Source organism: Homo sapiens, chromosome 7 (assembly GCF_000001405.40).
Source record: "Homo sapiens chromosome 7, GRCh38.p14 Primary Assembly".
Taxonomy (NCBI): Eukaryota; Metazoa; Chordata; class Mammalia; order Primates; family Hominidae; genus Homo; species Homo sapiens.
Window position 1 is genome coordinate 43,585,437 of NC_000007.14, and position 25,732 is coordinate 43,611,168.

General features: G+C 38.2%; 2 protein-coding genes across 56 annotated transcripts in view, besides 2 other annotated features; one reads left to right on the top strand and one right to left on the bottom strand.

The window, feature by feature from the left end:
- The window catches only part of STK17A (serine/threonine kinase 17a), a 44,272-nt gene that overhangs the window by 2,329 nt on the left and 16,211 nt on the right, over positions 1-25,732 (top strand). For both annotated transcript variants that reach the window (NM_004760.3, XM_017012792.2), the window contains exons 2-3: positions 10,465-10,677; positions 22,820-22,964. In NM_004760.3, coding sequence (NP_004751.2) covers positions 10,465-10,677; positions 22,820-22,964 — 358 coding nt within the window. The remainder of the gene's footprint in view (positions 1-10,464; positions 10,678-22,819; positions 22,965-25,732) is intronic.
- Positions 1,490-1,549: an enhancer, noted in NCBI's record as "active region_25911". NCBI's record gives its function as "activates an Ori minimal core promoter by ATAC-STARR-seq in GM12878 lymphoblastoid cells {active_cell/tissue: GM12878}" and the evidence as "EXISTENCE:reporter gene assay evidence [ECO:0000049][PMID:35858748]".
- Positions 23,021-25,732, bottom strand: part of COA1 (cytochrome c oxidase assembly factor 1) — a 121,067-nt gene continuing 118,355 nt past the window's right edge. For 49 of the 54 annotated variants that reach the window (NR_146943.2, NR_146940.2, NR_135582.2 and 46 more), the window contains one exon: positions 23,021-24,205. The gene's annotated coding sequence lies outside the window, so the exon portion shown is untranslated. The remainder of the gene's footprint in view (positions 24,206-25,732) is intronic. The other 5 variants (NR_146945.2, XR_007060085.1, XR_007060080.1 and 2 more) reach the window with 1 other exon arrangement.
- Positions 23,360-23,529: an enhancer, noted in NCBI's record as "experimental_99082 CRE fragment used in MPRA reporter constructs". NCBI's record gives its function as "activates a minimal promoter by MPRAs in K562 erythroleukemia cells, with activity observed for the non-introgressed 7:43648480 variant allele {active_cell/tissue: K562}" and the evidence as "EXISTENCE:reporter gene assay evidence [ECO:0000049][PMID:34662402]".

Consider the following 25,732-nt stretch of genomic DNA (forward strand, 5'->3'; position numbering starts at 1 on the left):
TTTTTTTAAGATTGTGATATCTTCTACATATCTTTTCTTACATAAATTTCTTTACAAAAGGAGTAGATTGTAAAGCTGCATAACAATGCAGTTATTAGATAAATACTTGATATAAGAGCCTGGAACTGAAAAATAAAATTAAATCTATTCTTTCCCTTGTGGCACCCTTTTTTATCGCATAGGAGTTTAATGCAGTGCTTAAGAACATTGGCTTTGGAGTCAGACAGTGTGAGATTGAATCTTGGCTCTTACTAGTTATGTGGACTTGAGTGCATTACCTAACCGTTTATTGCCTCATAGGGTTGGTGAGAGAATTAAGTAAAACACATAGCCTTAAGGCTGTGCTTAGCTTAGGGGAAGCACTCAATAAATGTAATTCATGGTGTAATTCAATAAATGTTATTATTTTAAATGTAACCCAAAAAGAAAACCTGCACAATCTCAAAAAATGCCTCTATGTCTGGCAAAAGTAATGAAGTCACAGGAACTGTTCAGAAGTCTCAGGAAGGAAAAGTTCTGTTTGTGTATAAGCAGTCCTTGTTTAAGTTTTATAAACTTTGCCTGTATTTATGGTTTTAACATAGCTAAGTGTGTCTCTGCTTCATCTTTGATAAGATAGAAAACCTATTTTTCCAACAATTAACTCTGGTTGCATTTCTGATATAACTAATTAATCTCACGCTGATAAAGAACTTGGAGAATACCCGTGTTAATAGTTTAATGATGTGGGAAGAAAAACAGATTTTTTTTTTCATTTTATTCTATGGCCTTTCATTTAGTAAAATGCAGAAGGGGTGTGATGAGTTAACTGTTCAAACAAATCATTCTTTTTCAGGTGCTACTATGTTATCACAGATCTAAAACTTTCAATGAGATGACTGTTCAAAGAGAATTTTTTAAATGGTCAACATTGATTCCAGAGTAATGACAGGATGTGATGTTGATCATTTAAGAAATGTTGCATTCTTTCATGTCTCCAACAGAGTCCATAGCAGCGTAAATAAGGGTAAATATATGATGTAAAACATTCTTTTATTGCTTGAAGCTTGACTGGTTAAGGCTTGTTACCTTTCTTTGAGTCAGGATGTATGCCAATGTAAACCACATTAATGATTTCGTTACTGGGGCACACAAGAGAAATGACCTTGGGTTCTGATAATTTTTTCGTGTTGATTTCCCTTGAGTTTATTGATAATATAGAAACAGAAAGATGTTTCAAGGAACTTAAAGATAACACCAGTTTCATAGCAAATGATTTGCCTTACATTTGTTTTCATTATCTAGTCCTCAACTTTAATGTTTTTAATATACCGATAAATTTTTTCTTAAGAAAAAAATATTTTAAGCCAAAAGAACACTTTAAAAATATTAGTACATGCTAATAGTTGGATTTTCCTAAGGAAAAAAGTTACAAATACAAGTTCCCATCTGAAACAGGTACTTTATAATGTGCAGGCCTTACAGTTTTACAAGTGCTTTCACATGCATTATCTCATTGATTCTCACCACAAGCCTGTTTGGAAAGCCCCATTTTTCAGATGAGAAAACAAAGACAGATTTAAAAGTCTTGTGAGAGATAACAGAGCTGGGACTCCTGACTTTGAAATCATTCCCATTACACCACACATGTTTTTCAAAGAATAATTTGTAGTCTGTATCTTATGACTAAAGCAATTTCCTGTCATTTTAATGAAATGATATGTTTTTATTGTTTTTTGTTTTTTTTTTTTTTTTTTGAGATGGAGTCTCGCTCTGTCGCCCAGGCTAGAGTGCAGTGGCGCGATCTCAGCTCACCGCAAGACCCGCCTCCTGGGTTCACGCCATTCTCCTGCCTCAGCCTCCCGAGTAGCTGGGACTATAGGCGCCTGCCACCATGCCTGGCTAATTTTTTGTATTTTTAGTAGAGACAGGGGAAAGGATCTGTTAATGAGTTCTACATTGGAACAAACATGACCAAGCTTCAGTGTCATATAGTTAAGTTCCCACTGGGGCCTTAAAGTAAATTAGGGATGTCCTATCTCATTCTCCTCAGAGCAGTCAGGGGTAATAGGGACAAGAGAGGATTTTTATCAGAGAATAAGAGAATATTCAAACTGAAAGGGGACTCTGGGTGGGTATTTTGGGGACTGTGTGTCCTTACCTAGATTGATGGCTGTAGGTAATAGCTTCAGTTTTTGTATCTGACAAGAACTTAAGCGTGTGTCATAAGTTATCATTTTTTAACAAATAAAGACCTTTATTAAGTAATATCCATGCAGAAATTGCTTTGTTTTAACACAGATGTTATTTAAGATTTCTTGACAGCTAGTCATTAGTTTGAAGAATTTTATTTACAAACAGTTTTGGGTAATCTGATACTTTGGATAGATAAAAGAAAATTGGCCATATTTGTGGTTCAACAATAAAGTTACTTGGAAAGTATGGCTTCTGCTCTTAGGCAGGTACTTTAAGTCAGTCAGCTGTTTAATTTTGAAAAGTTCATGCTTCAAATGTTAAAATCTTAATTTAAAATACATGAATGTAAGAATTTGAATTTTAATCTTTTCATAAAACCATAGATGACACAATTTTATAAAATATGATTATTGAACCAAATGCATTAGAAAGCTAAGTAGCTATAGTCACCTCTTCAGGTAAGTAAGAAGTTAACTAGATTTCTTGAGAGAATTTACACATTATGTAGACTTAATAGCTCACCTCCAGAACTCCTGTTCTGATATTTTTTTTAAATTATTATCATTGGTTATATCATAGATCTGAAATTAATGCCAAAAACAATAAAAATAGCCACTGATTATTGATCATTTGCTGAATGCTACACACTTTAAAGATGTAATTTTGTATAGTCTTCACTGCCCTGTATGGTAAAGTGCCATTGATCTCATTTTACAGATGAGGAATCCCAGGTTCCAAAGGATTAATAAATTGCCCAGTATTACACACTTGTTAGCCAGAATTTAAAACCAAGTTTGACTTGTAAGGCCCTGCCTTTTCTTATCACGCATGCTAATGTCTTATTTGAATGGACTCACTGATTTTTACGCCTAGGGTCTTTTCCTTGGTCCTTTCAGCGATAAGGAAGACAAAATCCATTCTAGGTTTTTCCTGAATGGAACTTCTTTACGTTTAAGACATGGCTCACACCTGTAATCCCAGCACTTTAGGAGGCCAAGGTGGGCGGATCACTTGAGGTCAGAAGCTTGAGAGCAGCCTGGCCAACATGGTGAAACCTCATCTCTACTAAAATTACAAAATTAGCTGGGCACACACCTGTAGTCCCAGCTACTTGGGAGGCTGAGGCGGGAGAATTCCTTGAACTTGAGAGGTGGAGGTTGTGGTGAGCAGAGATAGTGCCACTGTACTCCAGCCTAGGTGACAGAGTGGGACTGTGTCTCAAAAAAAGAAAAAAGACATCACTCCAGTGTAATTAGGCAAATACTGTACTTATGTATCAAGTACATAAAAGCACTACCTTAGGCTCTGGAAGCTATTCCCAAATGTAACAGATCAATCACTGTCCCCTTTATAGGCAAGATGATATGCCACTGGAAGGTCTTATGGGGGAAATAACATTTCAGTTGGGCTGTAAAGAATGGATGGAATTTCAGTAGTAGTTGCCATTGTCAATAAAACAGCAAGTCAGAGCAGTAGAAAAATTCAGTGAAGAGAGAATGGCAAGTAGTCCAGTATATTAAATGTCATGAGGTTAAGTTGCCATAAAACTTTTATTTAACAAAATAATAAGCAGTATATATACTAGGTGTGCTGATTATATTTGCACACCTGCCATGTGCAGGGCACTATGGAGATAAAAAGATGAAGAATAAGTGAGGTCCCTGAAACTCACAGTCCAGCTGGGAGACATAGTACAACAAGTTGTAATATATAAGATTGACATAAATATAATAAAGGTATAAACAAAGCACTTTAACCTAGAATAAAACAGGACCTTGGACATTATTTTACTTCCCCTTTGTACTGCTCAAATTAGCATGTGCATTTTCTGATGTTTACCTGAATGTTATATATTCTATTATCTCTTCACCTTTGCTTATAATCCAACACTTGAATTTGTATTTGGAATCCCTTCAATAAATGGGATTCTCTTTACCAAAAAAGGCAGCTCAACCTTCTGTCCAACTATAACTCCTACCACATTACACAGTACTATAACTGGTACCACATTTACACAGTACCTATATTAAAAATCTAAAAGTCATCCATGACTTTCACCTTTCCTTTCTCCTCTCATCTCTGCGTACAACTCACACCTGCCAGGGAGTGCTAATAAATCTTGACTTTGAGTGTCTTTTAAACATATTCTCTCTTCCCAGTCCCTACGCTGGTACTTGAGTGCAGACCTACTGCTTTGAATTATTTTATTGGCCTCTCTGTTTCTAGTTATCACTGGCAATCCACTCTTCACAACACTATTAGAATTACCTGTTTTGTTTTATTTTATTTTATAATTTTATTTTAATTTTATTTAATTTTAATTTTAATTTTATTTTATTTTATTTTATTTTATTTTATTTGAGACAGGGTCTCATTCTGTTGCCCAGGCTAGAGTACAGTGGCATGATCTCGGCAGCCTAGATGTCCCAGGCTCAACTGATCCTCCCATCCCAGCATCTCAAGTGCCAGGACCACAGGTGCACACAACCACGCCTGTCTAATTTTTGTATTTTTTGTAGTGACAAGATTTCGCCACGTTGCCCAGGCTGGTCTCGAACTCCTGGGCTCAAGCAATCCGCCTACCTCAGCCTCCGAAAGTGCTGGTATTACAGGCATGAGCCACCGTGCCCAACCAGAATTATCTTTTCTAAACAATTATTTTCAGTATTCTAATAGGTTCCAGTTTTAAGCCTGATGAAGCCCAAACTCCTTAGCAAACATACCTACCTAAAGATACTCACCCTGTCTCCCTAAGCAGTGTTTTTAGGCACTGATAATGCAAAGGACTTAGGGAGCTCGGACTGGTGGGTCTCAATCAAATGTCACCTCCTCTTGTTATAATTGTTTATGTATCTTACCTTTCCCACCTCTCTGGAATATGTTTTCAGTGAGTAGTTCTGAAATGTATTCATTTCTGATATTCATCCCAAAATATTTAATGAAAACCTAAGTTCTCAGTTTTGTACCTATTAGCAAAATATAGATGTTTTTGAAATGAAAAAATATACCTGAAAATTATGGCAACTGTTTATTCCAGGAAGAAGTTTGGCTTTTGAGTCAACAAAAAAAGTAGATGTGCAACAAACATCTTATGCCCTTTGGACCTCATCAGCCCCAAGAGAGCTGTATATAACCATGGCCCATAATGTCAGGGAAACATCATTTTTAAAATGTTTTGTAGAGGACTCAATAACCTAAAGTTAAAGGTTGAGGTACAGTCACAATTTTTACCATAAAGTCATGGTAAAATATGCATGTTGGAGCCCTTTTGAGGTATGGAATTTAGGGAACTCTGTCAATGTAATTCTGAGCATATACACTGGGACTTTGCAGCTTGAATGCTGAATCTCCTGTTTTCTTTATACAATGTGGCTGTGTAGAACAGCTCCAAGAAATCCGTTATTATCTTCTCTGACTCCTCCTTGAGTGGTTTGAAGGGTCCCCCTCCCATTGCACCAGTCATTTAGAGATGAAGGCATGCATGCTTCCTCAAATCATTGCGACCTGCTGTCATAATGTCAGTTTCAGTGGTATGTGGTATTAGAATGATGGAAGAGTTTTATTCAGCATAGGATAGAGCAGGGGTCAGCAAACTACAGCCAGCCACCTATTTTTGAAAGCCTTGCAAGCTGTTTTTACATTTTTTATGTTTTACATTTTTTAATAGTTAAAAAAATTAGAATAAGAGTAATATTTAATAACATGAAAAGCTTATGAAATTAAATTTCAGTGTAAAAGGTTCATTGGAAGCCAAACATACCCATTCATTTACCTTTCTTGTATGGCTGCTTTTGTTCTGCAACAGTGGACTTGAGTCATTGCTGCAGAGACCCTCTGGTCCACAAAGCCAAAAATATTTACCATCTTGCTTGCCCTTCACAGAAAAACTTGCTGACCCTAGTATAGTACAGGATATGTTGGAAAGAAAAGAATAAATCTAGAACTGTGAGGAATGTTTCCAGAAAAACAAAGGTGGTGTCAGTGTAGTCATTGATATGAAAGGAGAGCCGTGGGAACTGCATTCTAGCACCTAAAGGAATGGGTGAGGAGCATGAGCAACAGATGAATAAGTATGGGGAAGAGGCCCCAGAATTTAGCAATGGCTGTTCTGTAACAGGGCTCCCACAGTTCACAGGTTAGCAATGTGTGTGAGTCCGTGTTTAATTTGCCCTGTTAAATTCTAACTTCTAGGTTTTGATCTTTCATTCTAGACTACTGACATAATTTTGAGTTCCAATTCTGTTTGCTGAATTAGCTGTCTTTCCATTTGGTCTTTAAAAATAGACTTTCAGGCTATGTAATAAGTAGTTTTTTACTTACTGCACAGTACTTTATTGCTTTGAATGTCAGGTGTGGCAACAGTAAACATTTGTGTGTGTGATATGTGTTTGAGGGCCGTTCTACTGAGTCATTTCTAATTTACCAGGAACATGTTTGCTGCCAATTATATGTTGAGACTTCATTTCAGACGAATTTTTTACAAATTAAACTTTCTCTTCTCTTGAAACTTCAGACATGTAGGTATGAAAATATCAAATTAATAACAATTGTTTTCTGTCTTAAAAGAATTCAGAGATCATTGGGAACCTTTTAAAACTTGATGGAGATGTTAGCCTAATGATTTTGTGGGATAAAATGAAAGGTATTAATTACTCTTTGAGGAATTCATTTATAGTTACTCTCTCCCATATCTGTAGAAGTCTTTCATATTTCTGTGAACAAAAGAACTTTTATCTGAATAAGGGTGCTGCTAGGTAGGTTGTTACCAAATTGAACAGCCATAGGGCTATGCTTAAGGATTTGTCATTCCACATTTATATTACTAATGATAAAAACATGGAGGACATGAAAATTATATTTGCAGTTAACAATAGCTGGGAAGGAAGAATTACTCAAAATTATGTCAGTAGTCTAGAATGCTAGATCAAAGCCTAGAAGTTAGAATTTAACAGGGCAGGCCAGGCATGGTGGCTCATGCCTACAATCCCAGCATTTTGGGAGGCCGAGGTGGGTGGATCACTTGAGGCCAGGAGTTCGAGACCAGCCTGGCAAACATGACGAAACCCCATCTGTACTAAAAAAAAAAAAAAAAAAAAATCAAAAAATTAGCTGGGCATGATGGTATGTGCTTGTAATTCCAGCTATTCAGGAGGCTGAGGCATGAGAATTGCTTGAACCCGAGAAGCGGAGGTTGCAGTGAGCCGAGATCGTGCCACTGCACTCCAGCCTGGGTGACAGAACGAGACTGTGTCTCAAAAACAACAACAAAAAAGAATTTAACAGGGCAATTAAAGCCTTGCACTTAATTTTTTAGAAAGCTTTTTAAAAAAATAGATTCAGGGGTACAAGTGCATTTGTGTCACATGGATATATTGGGTCATGGTGAAGTCTGGGCTTTTAGTGTGCTCATCACCTAAATAGCGTACATTGTACCCAATAGGTAGTATTTAATTCCTCACCCCCTTCCCACTCTCTTACTGTTTGGTCTGTTTTTCCACTCTATGCCTGTGTATCCATTTAGTTCCCACTTAAAAGTGAAAACAGGCAGTTTTTTACTTCCTGCTTGAGTCATCTCACTTAGGATAATGACATCCAGTTCCATCCATGTTACTGCACAAGACATCATTTTTATGGCTGTGTAGTAGTCCATGATACATATACACACCATATTTTTAGTCCAGTCATCCACTGATGGACACTTAGGTTGGTATCTTTGCTATTATGAATAGGGCTGTGATTAACATATGAGTGCAGGTGTCTTTTTCATACAATAATTTCTTTTCCTTTGGGCAGATACCCTGTAATGGGATAGCCAAGTCAAATGGTAGTTCTTTGAGAAATCTCTAAACTACTTTCCATAGTGGCTGAACTAATTTACATTTCCACCAGCAGTGTATAAGCGTTCCCTTTTCTTTGTATGTTCGCCAACATTTGTTGTTTTTTAACTTTTTACTAATAGCCATTCCAACTGCTGTAAAGCAGTACCTCATTGTGATTTTAATTTGCATTTCTCTGATGATTAGTGATGTTGAACATTTTTTAATGTGTTTGTTTGCTGCTCTTTTGAAAAAATGTCTGTTCATATAAAAAAAAAAAACAATGAGGTTGTTTTTTTTTCTCGTTTTTTGAGTTCCTTGTAGATTCTGGATATCATCCCTTTGTTGGAGGCATAGTTTGCAAATATTTTTTCCCATTCTGTAGGTTGTCTGTTTATGCTGTTGATTATTCCAAATTTTTTAGCAATCATTTTTAAAATATAGTATGAGGATACTGACTTGATAAAAATTCAAGGTGGAAAAAAATCTAGGTAGTTTATCAGCCCAATTTGAAATATGAAAACATGTCAAGTTTTTTAACAATCAATCTTAGGTTGTATTGTTCCAGGAGCAACAAAAATAATAATGATGTAATGCTTTGATCGATTATACCTGGATTAGTTGCTTCAGATTTGGTTGGCACATTTTCTGCTGAGCCATAATAGGGAGTCAACCTTATGGGGAGGTGGGCATGGTGGCATGTGCCTGTAATCCCAGCTATACAGGAGGCTGAGGTGGGAGGATCACTTGAGCCCGGAAGTCCAAGGCTGCATTGAGCTATGATGGTGCCACTGCACTCCAGCCTGGGCAACAGAGTGAGACCCTGTCTCTTAAAGGAAAAAAAAAAAACCCATGGGGATGGGGATTGATTGCAAATTGGGAAAGGGAAGAGGGAGTGGCAGCTAACAGATGGTGTTTGCTGTGTTCAGTATCTGATAGACTGCCATGTGGAAAAGAGAGTGAGGTCTGGTCTGTACTGCTCAGCAGAGGACCCTGACTGTAACCCTTCAACTGAAGTCAGGTTTAGGCTTGTAATGAAGACCTTATTAAGATAATATGTACCCAGTAGTGGAAAAGATTACCTCACAGTTTGAAATAAGACATTGGCATTTGGTGTTAGGTAAAATACTGTATGATTTCTAAGTTGTCTTTCAACCTAAGGATTCAGTGGATGTTTACGGGTGATGACTATCACAGCTTAATGATGTTTGTGTGATTAGTAATATTTATTGAGCACTTACTGTGTGGCAAGTACCATGCTAAGCAATTGAAATATATTATTCTTTAATTCTTAGAACCCTGTGAAGTAGATGCCATTTGTGTCCCTATTATACAGATTAGAAAAATGAGACTTAGGGCATGGAGGCTCATGCCTTTAATCCTAGCAGGATCACTTGAGGCCAGGAGTTCAATACTAGCCTGAGCAACATAGAGAGACCCAGTCTCTTAAAAAAAAAAAAAAAGAAAGAAAGAAAAGAAAAGAAAAATGAAACTAAAAGAGGTTAAATAAACCACCTAAGGTTACTGTCAAGTGCCACTTATAGGGTTCAAGCCCACATAGGTTTAATTCCAGAGCTCATACTTTTAATCAGTATGCTATACTGAGTCCCTGGTTTACCCACTTATTAGTGTAATGACAAATAGTAATGTATCAATATAACACTTTGTTGTATCTGTCTTTATGAGAAAATACATTTCTAGCTGACGCTCTAGTTAAAATGATAAATGAGTGAGATCCTTACCTTTAGAAAGTGATAGTGCTCTTTAGAGTCAATTAGTGCAGTGAAATTCATCATATTAGGGATTCTGGTGACCAATTTCTATTAAAAAATCAAATGGCTTTTTTTTTTTTTTTTTTTTCCCCCCTGGAGACAGAGTCTCACTCTGTCATCCAGTCTGGAGTGCAGTGGCATGATCTCAGCTCGCTGCAACCTCCACCTCCCAGGTTCAAGCGATTCCCATGCCTCAGCCTCCTGAGTAGCTGGGATTACAGGCATAGCACTACTACACCTGGCTAATTTTTGTATTTTTAGTAGAGACAGGGTTTCGCCATTTTGGCCAGGTTGGTCCAGAACTCCTGACCTCAAGTGAGCCACCTGCCTCAGCCTCCCAAAATGCTGAGATTACAAAGGTGCACCATGCCTGGCTTCAACTGGCTTTTTTAGAGACCTAAATCATTTTATGTATAAATGTGCAAAAAATTAAGTTATGTGTAACTCTGCAAAAAAATGGACTTTAATATTTGTTATTCTTTAGAAAATGAATTGTGCAGGTTTATACATTTTGTTTTATTTGATAAATCTATAAATCTATAGATGTAGCCTATATAAATTTCTAAGTGATGTTTCTACTTTTGTGATTGTATATAAGCTAAATTTGAATATCTACCAATGGGTATTTGGAAATTTCATTGAAATCTGCCATCTCTGGAAAGTTGTCAACTTTAACAGTGAATGTTTTTGTTTAATTCTAGGGGGAAATTTGCAGTGGTGAGAAAATGTATAAAGAAAGATTCTGGGAAAGAATTTGCTGCAAAGTTCATGAGAAAAAGAAGAAAAGGCCAAGATTGTCGGATGGAAATAATTCATGAGATTGCTGTACTTGAACTAGCACAAGACAATCCTTGGGTCATTAATTTACATGAAGTTTATGAGACTGCATCAGAAATGATCTTAGTTCTGGAATAGTAAGTATTGTCTTTCTTAGATTAAGTTTGTTTGGTAGTCTACACTTCCTTTACGGAATGCCACTCATCTGTGATAATGTTGCCAGGCCTGGTTCTCTGGAAATCTCAGAATTTTCTAGATCATCTTCAGGTGTTCCTCTTATTAATATAACATGTTCCAAATTTGCAAGGATGCATGTATATTAGCTTTTTTATTTTCATTCTTTAATGAAATTCTTGTCATAATTGGATAAAAGGTTATCTTACAATTTTATTAGAGGCATTCTTAACAAAGTAATACCAAACTAATATTAAAATAAAAGGCATTTTATAATCCTTACATGTTCTTATAGTCTGAGTTAATCTCCTTTCTTTTAGAAACAGTGGTCTTGATTCTTACTATGTTTTCAATTTAAGTAGGTAGATAACAGCACAGAAAACAGCTTTGAAAAATGAAGGACTGTTCTTTCTCCTTAAGAAATCCTGGTTTCATACCAGGCGTGGTGACTCATGCCTGTAATCCCGGCACTTTGAGAGGCCGAGGCAGGAGGATCACCTGAGGTCAAGAGTTCAAGACCAGTCTGGCCAACATGGTGAAACCCAGTCTCTACTACAAATACAAAAAATTAGCCTGGCGTGGTGGCATGTGCCTGTAATCCCAGCTACTCAGGAGCCTGAGGCAGGGGAATTGCTGGAACCAAGGAGGTGGAGGTTGCAGTGAGCTGAGATTGCGCCACTGCACTCTAACCTGGGCGACAAAGTGAGACTCCATCTCAAAAAAAAAAAAAAAAAAACCTTAATACTCATGCCTGTAATCCCAGCACTTTGGGAGGCCAAGGCAGGAAGGATTACTTGAGTCCAGGAGTTTGAGATCAGCCTAAGCAACATAACAAAGACCCTGTCTCTTTTAAAAAATAATTAATTTAAAAAAACAAAAAAGACTTAATACATCAATAAATCCAAACAAAATGAAAAGACAAACTCGGAAAAATACCTCTAATATTCATCTAGCCAAAGCGGTTAAAGTTGCTTGAATATATAACCAGATCTTGCAAATACACACAAACACATGAACCTCCCAGTTTACAAAGGGTTTGGACCGTAATCCCAAAAGATGCAATCTTAAATGTTGAAATTCCAAAAAATCAAAAACCCTAAGGTCTAAAATCTCAAAAATCACAATCCCAAAAGATCAAAATCTTGAAAATATAATTATGGAAAAAAAATCCTAAAAAATTCTGTAAAAGACATTTATTTGGTGCGGTGGCTCATGCCTGTAGTTCAGCACTTTGTTGTTATTATTTTTTTTTTTTGAGATGGATTTTCACTCTTGTTGCCCAGACTGGAGTGCATTGGCACAATCTCGGCTTACTGCAGCTCATGGGTTCAAGCGATTCTCCTGCCTCAGCCCCCCAAGTAGCTAGGATTACAGGCATCCGTCCACCTTTATGCCTGGCTAATTTTTTGTATTTTTTTTAGAGATGGGGTTTCACCGTGTTGGTGAGGCTGCTCAAACTCCTGACCTCAGGTGATCCATCCACCTCGGCCTCCCAAAGTGCTGGTTTACAGGCGTGAGCCCAGCCAAATCCCAGCACTTTGGGCAGCCAAAGTGGGAAGATTTCTTGAGCCCAGGAGTTGGAGACCACCCTGGGCAACATAGCGAAACCCTGTCTCTACAAAAAATACAAAAATTAGCTGGGAGTGGTGGTGCATGCCTGTAATCCCAGCTACTTGGGAGGCTGAAGTGGTAGGATCACCTGAGGTCAAGGCTACAGTGAGCCGAGATAGTGCCACTGCACTCCAGCCTGGGTGACAGAGTGAGACTCTGTCTCAAAAAACAAAAAAAATTTATTTACATTTTAAAAGGGGATTTATTTAGGAAACATAAAAATAACTATATACCATAAATTGTCCAATTATTATGTCAATTAAAAATAAAATTTTAATACATGACATTTCATAGGCCACTTTATTTACATGCTAAAACAGAGAGTAATAACATACATGTTTTTACAAACATAACACTCAGATATACCGACAGTCACACAAATGTAACGGTTATGAGCAGATAAACCATATTTATAAAAGAAATGGTCGGCCAGGCACGGTGGCTCACACCTGTAATCCCAGCACTATGGGAGGCCGAGGCAGGTGGATCACGAGGTCAGGAGATCGAGACTATCCTGGCTAATACAGTGAAACCTCGTCTCTACTAAATATACAAAAAATTAGCTGGACATGGTAGCAGGCGCCTATAGTCCCAGCTACTCAGGAGGCTGACGCAGGAGAATGGCGTGAACCTGGGAGGTGGAGCTTGCAGTGAGCACAGATCGTGCCACTGCACTCCAGCCTGGGTGACACAGCAAGACTCCGTCTCAAAAAAAAAAAAAAAAAAGGAAATAGGTCAAAAAGTGAAATATATAAATGTATATCCCCATAGTTGATAATTCTGTACACCTCCATTGATAACTGTGGTCCTCTGAAATACTACGACAAACAACCTAAGTCTTTTGACAAAATTGATCGAAAACCTCAGTGAGTCATCACCATATATGCAGTTGCCCAAAGAGCCAAGAGCTCAAGAAATTTTTTTTCACAAATGCAGATGTACAAAAAGGACATCTCTTCATTTATTAAGAAAGTTTAAATGTTTTTGTTGTTCTTTTTTGGTTTTTGGTTTTTTTTTTTTGAGACGGAGTCTTCCTCTGTGACCCAGGCTGGAGTGCAGTGGCATGATCTCGGCTCACCGCAACCTCTGCCTCCCAGTTCAAGCAATTCTCCTGTGTCAGCCTCCTCAGTAGCTGGGATTACAGGTGCACACCACCACGCCTGGCTAATTTTTTTGTAATTTTAGTAGAGACAGGGTGTCACCATGTTGGCCAGGCTGGTTTCGAACTCTTGACCTCAGGTGATCCACCTGCCTTGGCCTCCCAAAGTGCTGGGATTACAGGCATCAGCCACCAGGCCTGGCCTCAATGTTTTTACATACACAAAATCAACATTGTGATAATATATTTTGATGGAGTCAAATTTGCAAAATATTCATAAAATGAATTAGAACTCTCCTCAAATTTTCACCCAATTCATACTTCCAGTATTGAAAATAATGCGAAGATGAAATGCATAGCATAGTGAATTGGTGCAATATGTGAAGGGGCAGAAGTTGTACATGATTGAATAATTTGGCAGGAAAGAGTTCTTAGATTTTTCACCTGCATTTTCACTTCTATAACCTTTGAAACACCTGCTGCACTTGTATTTGGACAGTGGTTGTGATCTACAAATTTTGTAAGTATATGTTGTCCACCTGAAAGCCTGGTTATTGCTCAGCCATTGCAATTCAATTATTTTCTGCTTTCAAAGCACCAATAATAATTAGCTTTTAAACCATTAGGTAGCCTTGTATGCTTAACTTAATCACATCCTTTTTTGAAGGAACAATTTCATAGGTCTCTTCCATTGTATTGTAAGGAATACAGTGAGAAGGAATCATATTGGGCCTCCCCAGTACCAAATCTTTATTAGTCAGGCTTCTCCAGAGAGACAGAACCAATAGGATATGTGTATAAATATGAGAAAGGACTTATTAGGAAACTGGCTTATGTGCTTATGGTGACTGAGAAGTTCCACAATAGGCCTGCAAGCTGGACACCCTGGGATGCTGGTAACATGGCTCAGTCCAAGTGCAAAGGCCTCAGAACCAGGGAAACCAATCATTAACTTTAAATCCAGGCCAAAAGCCTCAGAACCCCAGGGAGTGGGAGTGTAGGGAGCAGGGGTGGTCAGGTGTAAGTCCTGGCATTTAAAGGCTGGAGTTCTGATGTCCACAGCAGCAAGAGAAAAATTGGTCCCAGCTCTGAGAGAGAGACCAGCTTGCCTTCTATATTTCTTCTCTCCAATTACATGGTGCCTGCCAACACTGAAGGCATCTCTTTCCTACCTAGTCCACTCGGACTCCCACACTAATCTCTGGAAACACCCTCACGGACACGCCCAAAATAATACTTTCCCAAATTTCTAGGTATTCTTTAATCCAGTCAAGCCAACAACTGAAATTAAGACCATAAATCCACCCCTTGTCAGTTTGGCACCCATAATGCATCTCCTTTAAACTGTACTTAATTTCCAAATAAAGACAGTAACAGATGCACCTACCATGATGCACCTAGCCTGCATACAACTGAAAACACAGTGGAAATCCCCTCCCTAGAATTCAGTTTTCAGGATTTCAACAGTCGAGATTTTAATTGTTCAAGATTGTGATTTGGGGATTTTAGACTTTAAGGATTTTTTATCTTTTGGGATTTTGATCTTTTGGGATTTTTACATTCTGGATCATGGCATCTGTGATTGTGTCTTTCAGTATTATGATCAGCTCTGGTTTAAAAAAAATGAACAAGTGATATGAAGAGAAATTTTCACAGACATACATGAATGTAAATTGCCTATATACAGATGAAAATATTTTTATTTTTATAATGTAAATTTTAAAATAAGTTGTGAATTTCCACCTATCAAACTGGCAGTGATTATAAACAAAAGCGATATTCATTGATTGAGCCATTTTAGTATAACTTTTCTGGAGGACAGTCTGAAGTATGTATCAAAAGCCTTAAAAAAATACATTTTAACCCAGCACTTTTACTTTTAGAAAAAATTTTTTGATGGTACATAATGGGGTCTCACTATGTTGACCAGGCTTGTCTCAAACTCCTGGCCTCAAGCAATCCTCCTGCCTCAGCCTCCCAAAATGCTGGGCTTATAAGCATGAGCCACCATGCATGGCCTAATTTTACTTTTATTAATTTTTTTCACAAGGAAATATTAGGCAGTTTTGCAAAGATATGTTACCAAAATGTTCCTTATGGCATTCTCCATGTAGCAAAAAGGTAGAAATAATCTAAATGTTTGTTAGAAAAAAGGTTGGTTAAATAAGTGATGTCACAAAGTGGATTACTGGGCAGTCATTAAAAAGCTAAGGTAACTATAAATATATTGTCAAAGATTTAAAATATTAAGTTTAAAAAAGCATGTTACAAAATAATGTGTATGGCATTATGTTGTTTTTATTTAAAAGTTTATAGCGGGTGAAGTCTGGATGGCTAAAATATTAAGCATGTTACTCTTGAGAATGTAATTCAAAAACATGGTGTTCTTATATTTTAATTCAATAATTTCACTTGTAGGAATCCCTTCTAAAGAAATAATACGAACATGAGAAGCACAAAAGTATTTGTCACAGTGCATTTCTAATTTATGATAGTAGGAATATCCAAAAATGGCAGAACGGTTAAAAGTTTTTTTAAAAAATAAGTTTAGGAATCTCATATGGGAGCCCGCTGCTTACCAAGGATTTGTTTTTTTCTGTTTATTACAGATAGGATTAAGGTAGAATTGGAAATTGATCCAGAAAAGACCACCTGAAATTTCTGTCTCCAAAATCTCCTCATTCTTGCAAAACCTGCTCTTCAGCCTTTCATCCTGGGACCCATTTCAGTTCTTCCAGTCTTCACCCGGCTTCTGACTTTTTTCTTCCCTTTTCTTTCCTTCTCCTCTTTAGTAGTTAATTCAATTCCTCTCTTACCAGCACCTCACATTATTTCCCTCTTCCTCTTGGTCATCCTCTGCAACTCATTTGCCCATTTGAAACCCAGAATGCATGCTGTGTGTCCCTCCTCCTGTGCTGCCACACATTCTTGGAAGGACTTGGATCGTTTTTCATCTACTTAGTACAAGTGTAAGAGTTCCATCTTCAGCTAGGCTCATGGTATAGCTTGGCAAGTCTGTACCTAATCTCTTATGTCCTTTTAACACCCCCACCCCCTGAGCTAATCAATATCTTTACTGTGTCACCTACTTCCTACCATTCATGAGATACCTAGCCTTTTCTCCCCCATATGGAGAAATCAAGGCCATCAGACACACACTCCCCAAGCATCCCTCCTCTCTTCCTCTAATATCTGTCTTTGTTGCTCTCATGCCCTTCCCTGCTGTTCAATGGAAGAGATTCAGCTAATTATTTCCAAGACTGAAACCCTTATTTAAGTTCTTTAATTCTCATCCTTTCTTTTCTAGGACCTGTGTTTTGTTTTTTCCTAAGTTATGTAACCTCTTCTAGAGTTTCAGTCCCTCCTCCCGTGGTGGTTCTTTTCCCTTTGTTTTCTAATATTTCAGTCTCTTCTATGCTAAAATTCCTTCCTCAGCTTTGACTCTTATGTCTTGCCTTTCTCTTTTCCTTACTGCTATACTTGTTAAAAGAATAGTCTGGATTTATAGCATTCCTCACCTTCCAGTTTTGTTCTACTTCATTGATTCACTCATCTGTTCATGGGCCAATACCCCATTCACTTTTTAATCTAATGCCATCTGCTCTTCTAATACTTTGATGAGGTCACCAGTCCTGTGTGCCAAAATTAGTCTCCTCATTTTAGTATTCATGCCAGTTCTTGCTCTCTTTGAACACTTGATATTATCCCTTCTTTCTTGAAATCATGTTCTTCCTTGGCTTTCACAGCCCTATTTTTTTAAAATCTCCTCCTCCTCTCAGAGCCGTTTATCCTTTTCTACTATATAAATGTAAGTGTTCCCCCCAGTTCCATCAGCGTTACTTATGTCATACATTTATGTTTTATACATTTACCCTGGATAACAATCTATTTTTGTGGCTTCAGCTATCATTTACATGCAGATTATTTCCAAATTTTTGTTTCCAACCTCTGCCCCTTTCTTAAGCTCCAGCTGCCTGTTGCGTATTCCTGTGTCCAACTGCAGATCATTATTGGTCAATATATCAGTATCAGTGCAGTCAATAGCAGTCAATATCAGTACTCCTGCATTGCCCTATTAAGGCCTGTTTTTCTTTTGTTTAGTATCCCCATCTGTTTCATTGCTCAAGCTAGAAACCTCGAAGTTATCCTTAATTCCTTTTTCCTCTTTAACACTCCTATACAGTATAATGAATTACCAAGTCTTCCGCTTAAACCTCTCCAGTAGCTTCTCAGCTGGTCACCCTGGTTTCAATCCTGGGAAATCCCTCCTGCTACTGTTAGATAAATAATAAAAATACAGATTTGGTGATATTATTCTCTTGCTTAGAAACGTTTGGTGGCTTCTGTTTCTTTGATGATCAGGTTTTTTTTAGACCAAAATCAGTATGAATTGGCCAAAAATTTTTATGTTCTACTTTTAGTTTGAAGAGGAAGTCTTAGAGATATACTCTGGATACTGAGATACCAAAATTCTCAGCCGCATCAATAGATTGTTGTTATGGAAACAGGCAAGTTATGATCACTGCATCAATTAATCATTCCTGAAGCACCTGCTATGTGCACTAGATACTAATAGGTACTGATCATATAAAAAGTGAAAAAACATAGCCCCTTATCTCCAGGTGCTAAAAGTCTAGCAAAGGAAATAGATATGGAGGTTGAACATTCTTAACCTGGAAATGAAATGTCCCAAAGTTTGAAACTTTGAGCGCTAACCTGATGCCACAGTAGAAAATTCCACATCTGACCTTATATATTATCCCAGAAAGATGCTGACCACAGCTGATAAGATCACCTTTATAGGAATTAAGGATGCTAAGGATAGAATAACTATGCTGGGGGCTGTGCTAATGCAGCAGGTATGTGTAAGTGTAAACTTGCTGTGATTCCACGTGGTGGCGGAGAGTGACACCTTCACTTTCTGATGGTTCAGTGTACACAAACTTTGTTTCATGCACAAAATTATTTAAAACATTGTATAAAATTATCTTCAGGCTATGTATGTAAGTTGCATATGAAATATAAATGTATTTTGTGTTTAGATTTGGGTCCCCTCCCCCAATATAGCTCATTATGTATATGCTAATATTTCAAAATATGAAATCCCAAATGCTTCTGGTCCCAAACATTTAAGAGAAGGGATATTTGGCCTATAAATGATTGCAGCAATGTTGATGATTTACTAGGAGTTCTTACTAGTTGTTGTGTGAACTAGAGTATAATAGTCAAAATGTATTAAGCATTCACTATGTGCCAGGCACTATGCTAAGTCTTCCAGCTTTATATATATTACTTATATGCTTTATTTACACTGTTTATAAATTTTAGAACACAATTTTATATATAAGAAAAAAAAATCAACCTTAGGTTGTGCTGTATTACAAATAGCAGAGCCAGAATTTAGTCCAGGAGTGTGAGATTCCAAAGCTTCTGCTTTTATCCATATACTGTGCTCCTTTACTCTGCCTGGGAGGTTAGGGAGTGCTTCCTGGAGGAGGAGGCATTTCACAGTATATATTAGCCCATCATTGCCTTACTCTGAATTTTTTGAGTTGTTTTCCCCTCATCCTGTGCTCTTCTCCCTGACTTCTATTCTACCTCATCTCCTTCTAGTCCTTTTCTACCTCACCCTACATTCTTGGCACACTGCTTTTTTTGTCATTCCATTGTCATCTTCCCTGCATTATTTACGACAAGAAGTCTGTGATCATTCTTACCTTGGTTCACCTATAAATGTGCCTTTTTAAAGATTTTCCTCTTTCTCACTGGTTTTTAGCAATTTGAGTATAGTGCCTTGGTTTTATTTGTATTTATCTGGCTTGGAGTTCATTGAGCTACTTAAATTTTTTTGTTTATAGTTTTTATCAGATTTGGAAATTTTTCAGCCATGGGTATGTTTTCTAATATTTTCCTACCCCTACCTCTCTTCTCTTATTCCTTGAATTACAGTGTATTAAATGGCTTGATGCTGTCCCATAGATCCCTGGGGTCCTGTTTGTTTTGTTCAGTCTTTTTTCCCTCCCTCTCTCTCTCTGTGCTTCCATTGACAGCTTATTTTGCTGCATCTTAAAATTCACTGATTCTTCTGCAGTGTCTGATCTGCTATAAAGACTATCCAATGGGTTTTTCATTTGAGATACTGTATTTTTCACCTATGAAAGTTCCTTTTGGTTCTTTTTGTAACCTCCATCTCTTACATGATTATGTTCATATTTTACTTTAAATCTTTGAGCATCTTTATAATGCCTGTTTTAAGGTCCTTATCTGCCAATTCCATCATCTCTGTCATTTCTGGGTCTGCTTTTATTATTTTTCCTATTGGTTGTGAATTGTAATTTGTGGCATTTTCAGATATCTAGAAATTTTTGGTAAAATGACATACATTTGGAATGTTGCAGGGTTGAGTAGATTTTATCCCATTAAAGAATGGTGAAGTATGTTTTGGCAGTCATTTAAATTACTTGTAGATCAGTTTGGTTAGGACAGACCTAGAACTAGGTTAGCCTTGATATAAAGGATGGCCCTCCCAAAGAAGTCTGTTCGTTGCCCCAGTGTTTAGAGTGGCTTTTCTACTCTAGCTTGACAAAATTTAAATGTCTTACCCTTGTTCTTTGTGAACACTGGGAATTTCTCAGCCTTATAATTTTCCAGAGTTATTTTGTCTAAGACTTCAAAGTACTATTGAGCAGATCTCTTTGTGCAGCTCCCTCCTCTCTGGTACTCACCTGCCAATTCCAGCTGTCTTAGCCTTGCCAAACTCCCAGTCTGTCTTCTCAGCTTAGCATGGCTGCTGCATTCCACTTCTGCTTGGGTTCCTCCCCTACCCTATACCCCTGTCCATAAATTGTTACCAAGTAGGAAGATTGGAGAGCTTACCTTTTCTCACAGCTCATGGTCCTATACCTGTTGTTCTAATGCCTGAAATAGTTGGTTCATATGCTTTAATTTTCTAGTTGTTTATAGCCAGAGGGCAAGTGCCATACCATTTGGTTGGATGGGGAAGTAGAAACTTGCCCTTTAATGAGTGTACCATGTATTTTTTACACAATGTGCCCTCACACATGTGCTCCCTCTATCTAGGATGTGCTGTTACCATTTCATCTAGTGGACTTCTAAGTAATCCTTCAAGGCTCAGAATAAATGTCATCTTTCCAAGATTTTTTTTTTCTACTTCCTTTCCAATTAATTGCTCAATTGCTAAGTTATCAAGTCATTTAATATATAATTTCACATATATATTAATGCATATGTATTTGTTATTTAAATATCTTTCATTTTTCTCTTCCCCACTAGAGCTTGAAGGACCAGACATACTTATTTGTAATTATCTTTCTATCTCTAGGATGGAGCATAGGGCCTAACATATTTGATGGTTTGTTGAATTTGAATAATGAGAAAGTAAAGATCCAAACTGGGCCTCAGAGCAGGACAGAAATGGAAATGCTACTTTAGATAGAAAAAACAGTGTTTGGTTTGAGGCGGGAAGCTATGATACAGCCAAGGTGCAGGCAGCTAGGGAAACTCAGTTACTCTTAGCTTCTAAACATCAGTTATATGGCTCTGAATAATGTTGGTCAAAAGATAATCATCTCACAACTTTCCAATGACCACTAGAAAGTTGAAATTTTAAAGTTCTAAATGTTTTCTGTAAAAGTAGTTTTTGTACAAAACTTTTTTTGTTAACAGTTTTTTAATTAATTTCCCAGTAAAATTTTTTGGTTAAAAAGTAGTGTTGCTGTAGTTAAAGATAGAAAAAGCAAAGCTATTATAGGGCTTCTCTAGCTTCCATGTGAAGGAAAGTACTTTGTGTAAATTAGTTAATATTATATTTTCTGTTACTATACTTGAGAGATGCTTTTAACATCTCAGATTGTTCTTTAGTGAGATCACATTTAGTGATATTAGTTAATATGGCATTTAGTTTAGTTAATGAGTAAAATCCACAGTTAAACAGGGTTATATGATTATATGTTGTACCGAGAGAAATATAGTCTCTTTTTTTTTGAGAGGAATGAATGTCATCTTAATGGTCACTCAATCTAGCTTTTCGATTTTCTTTTTTTTTTTTTTTTTTTTTTTTGAGATGGAGTTTTGTTCTTGTTGCCCAGGCTGGAGTGCAATGGTGTGATCTCGGTTCATCCCAACTTCTGCCTCCCAGGTTCAAGTGATTCTCCTGCCTCAGCCTCCTGAGTAGCTGGGATTACAGGCATGCGCTACCATGCCTGGCTAATTTTGTATTTTTAGTAGAGACAGGGCTTCTCCATGTTGGTCACGCTGGTCTGGAATTCCTGATCTCAGGTGATCTGCCTGCCTCAGCCTCCCAAGGTGCTGGGATTACAGGTGTGAGCCACTGTGCCCAGCCTCAATTTTATTATAATAGTCTATATTTGAAATACATACTTGAAAATTTTCACAAAACTGTAGTTAGCAGTATATTTTGTGCTTATGTAAACTACTTAAATTGTTGAAAACACCAAGAAGAAACCATTTGTTAAAGCAAGAATGGGGCCGGGCATGGTGGCTCACGCCTGTAATCCCAGCACTTTGAGAGCCCAGGGTGGGTGGCTCACGAGGTCAAGGAGATCGAGATCATCCTGGCCAACCTGGTGAAACCCCGTCTCTACTAAAATACAAAAAAATTAGCCGGGCGTGGTGGCCCACGCCTGTAGTCCCAGCTACTCGGGAGGCTGAGGCAGGAGAATCGATTGAACCCAGGAGGCGGAGGTTGCAGTGAGCTGAGATCACGCCACTGCACTCCGGCCTGGTGACAGAGCAAGACTCCGTCTCAAAAAAAAAAAAAAAAAAAAAAGCAAGAATGGGTAACTTTATAGTGTAAAGAGACTAATTGCTCTTAAAATTTAGGTAAAGAAATCCTTGTGTTTATGTAAATTGATAGTAATGGGCTGAGGAACTCAGATGACAATAAACTGTGATTAAGAAACTGTTTCAGCCAAAATGCAGTTCTTTATTTCAATTGAGGAACACAGTTCTGTTACCAGCAAATTGTGGCCTGTATGTGCAGAGGGCTTAGTAAACTGTACATTACATCGTGGTGCATCTTGAGCTACTTGGAACTGAGTTGGCTCAGCCTATACCGTGTTTTGATTCAGGTTGTTAAATCCATACTAACAGTTATACAGGCTGGGTACAAAGGCTTATACGTGTAATCCCAACACCTTTGGAGGCCAAGGTGGGAGGATCACTTGAGCACAGGAGTTTGAGACCAGCCTGGGCAACATAGTGAGGTCCCATCTCTATTTTTCAAAATAAAAATACATTTTTTAAAAAAGGTATACAGTTACTGCCAGACTGTAATTAATTTACTCTGTAGTTTTGGTGTAAGTGTTCGCCATTTCTTATGAGTTATATATTACTTTAATTTTGCCCTTCTCTAGTGCTGCTGGGGGTGAAATCTTTGACCAGTGTGTTGCAGACAGAGAAGAAGCCTTTAAAGAAAAAGATGTTCAAAGACTTATGCGACAGATTTTAGAAGGTGTTCACTTTTTACACACTCGTGATGTAGTTCATCTTGATTTGAAGGTAAGATTCAAATTACAATTTTGAGATTGCTAAAGAATGACATTCAAGACATAAAATATTTAACAGTGATTTATTCAAACATGTTTCACGTTTGTGTATTATTAGGTAACAAGGATATTAGAATTGAGTCTTTACTCCTATCCTCTAGCCAGTTAGTTTTATCAGGGAGATAATGCACACATGTGTACATGGAAAGATACAAAATAATACAATGCCAAAGAAAGGAACTCAAAATATGATAAGACAGAACTTGAGCTAGATCTTTTGAAAAGTTAGGATTTAGATAAGTTGAGAAGAATGAGAGAAAATTGCTCACAAGAGTTAGGAATATTTGTGATGTGTTTGGGAAAAAAATAAATGGAATCATTTCACTGGAATTGAGAAATCAATTAGGAGATATTAAAAGCTGGGGAAAGGCTGGATTCTAGGGGTTTCATATGTCATGAAGACATAGATGATTTTTGAGCCAGGAATATTCGAGAAGCAGTGTTTTGGAAAATAGGCAGCAGTAAATAAATGAGAAAATTAAAGAGATTAGAGGCAGGTAGATTTCTAATTTAAAATCATCAAAGGCGGAGAAGAGGAAGGAAAGAAAAACAAAGGACAGTATATCAGTTATGTTCCTTTCAAGTGATCAGGGTGCCAGCTGAAACCAGGGTAAGCAAAACAAGGAAATTTTAGTGGCAAACAAGTCCAGGGATAATTCTAGCTTCAGTTATGACAGTATTCAGGGTTCAAAAACTGTTGCTAGTACTCAGTTTTTCTCCAGCATTCAGCTCTGCCTTCTTTGAATGACAGTAAGATGGTAATAAAGTAGGTGCTGCTGTTCAGCCTTGCAGCTACCTGGAGACAGCAGGAAAGTCAGTCTCTGCTCACAGCTCTGTCCAAAGTTCTGAGATTCACTCTGATTACACCAGCGTAGATCAATTTGGAACCAGTAAGTGTGCTGGTTGGTGTAGGGCTTTGGCTTTCCATGCCAGTGTCATCAGTGTCATAGGCTCCAACTCTGGAGGAAGAGGTATAACACTTTCTACCATCCTAACCTTTACGTGGACTGAGTGAAGAAGGGATGGATTCTCAAAACCAGTTGTGTTTCTGAAAGAACAAAGAATGGGTGCTCAGGAGACAATAAAGGTCCACTATGATGATTCTTAGTATATTCCTGCAGGTGTCTGTGGTAGGCAAGTTTAAGATCTCTGTTGATTTTCTGATGGTTACTTTCATATCAAGTCCAGGTGCAACTGTGGGGAAATGAAACATTCCTCAAACACAGAACATGCCACAGCAACCCTAGTTCCTAGTGTTTATTTCATTTACAAAGATGGCCTTACTGGCCAGAGGAAATAGGGTTAGGAAGGATGGTAACCTGAGAAGGCCGAAGCCTCTGGACCACCCCCAAAAAACTTTCCCATCCTGAATTGCAGCATCATCTCACACCACGATCATCTACTGATCTACCTTGACCTCTGCTGTAGTATCCCCTCTAGCAGAAAGTAGATGCTTAATGGCAGTGTTCTCTGACCCAGACATGAATCAGAATCACCTGGAAGGGCTTGTTAATACAAATTGCTAGGCCACAACCCTAAAGTTTCTGATTCAGGGTAGGGCAAGGCGAGGCTTAAACTTCAGGCCAGGGGCCACTTTAAGAATTGCTATATGGCCAGGGCCGGGCGCGGTGGCTCACGCCTGTAATCCCAGCACTTTGGGAGGCCGAGGTGGGCGGATCACAAGGTCAGGAGATCGAGACCATCCTGGCTAACACGGTGAAACCCTGTCTGTAGTAAAAATACAAAAAAATTAGCCAGGCATGGTGGTGGGTGCCTGTAGTCCCAGCTACTTGGGAGGCTGAGGCAGGAGAATGGTGTGAACCCAGGAGGTGGAGCTTGCAGTGAGCCGAGATCGTGCCACTGCACTCCAGCCTGGGCAACAGAGCGAGACTCCGTCTCAAAAAAAAAAAAAAAAAAAAAAAAAGACTTGCTATATGGCCAGGTGTGGTGGCTCATGCCTGTAATCCCAGCACTTTGGGAGGCCGAGCCAGGCAGATCACTTGAGGTCAGGAGTTCAAGACCAGCCTGGCCAACATGGTGAAATCCCATGTCTACTAAAAATACAAAAAATTAGCCAAGTGTGGTGGCGCACGCCTATAGTCCCAGCTACTCCAGAGGCTGAGGGGGGAGAATCGCTTGAATCCGGGAGGTGGAGGTTGCAGTGAGCTGAGATCACGCCATTGCACTCTAGCCTAGGCAACAGAGCGAGACTTCGTCTCAAAAAAAGAACTGCTATATGGCACATTCCGTAATACCTTTGTTTATTTATATAGATAGATAGAGTCATACTATATAAATATAAATTCATATATGTATATATTTAATACTATATAAATAACTGCTTAATTTTTATTGCATGAAGGCGCACTCTCAAGAAGGAGTGTACAGGCTGGGCGCAGTGGCTCATGCCTGTAATCCCAGCACTTTGGGAGGTCAAGGAGGGCAGATCGCTTGAGGTCAGGAGTTTGAGACCAGCCTAGCCAACATGGTGAAACCCTATCTCTACGAAAAATACAAAAATTAGCTGGGTGTGGTGGCAGGCACCTGTAATCCCAGCTACTTGGGAGGCTGAGGCAGGAGAATCGCTTGAACCTGGGAGGTGACGGTTGCAGTGAGCCGAGATTGCGCCACTGCACTCCAGCCTGGCTGACAGAATGAGACTCCGTCTCAAAACAAAAAAAAGAGGATACAGTGTGTATAATCTGGAGGTTGACTTCTACA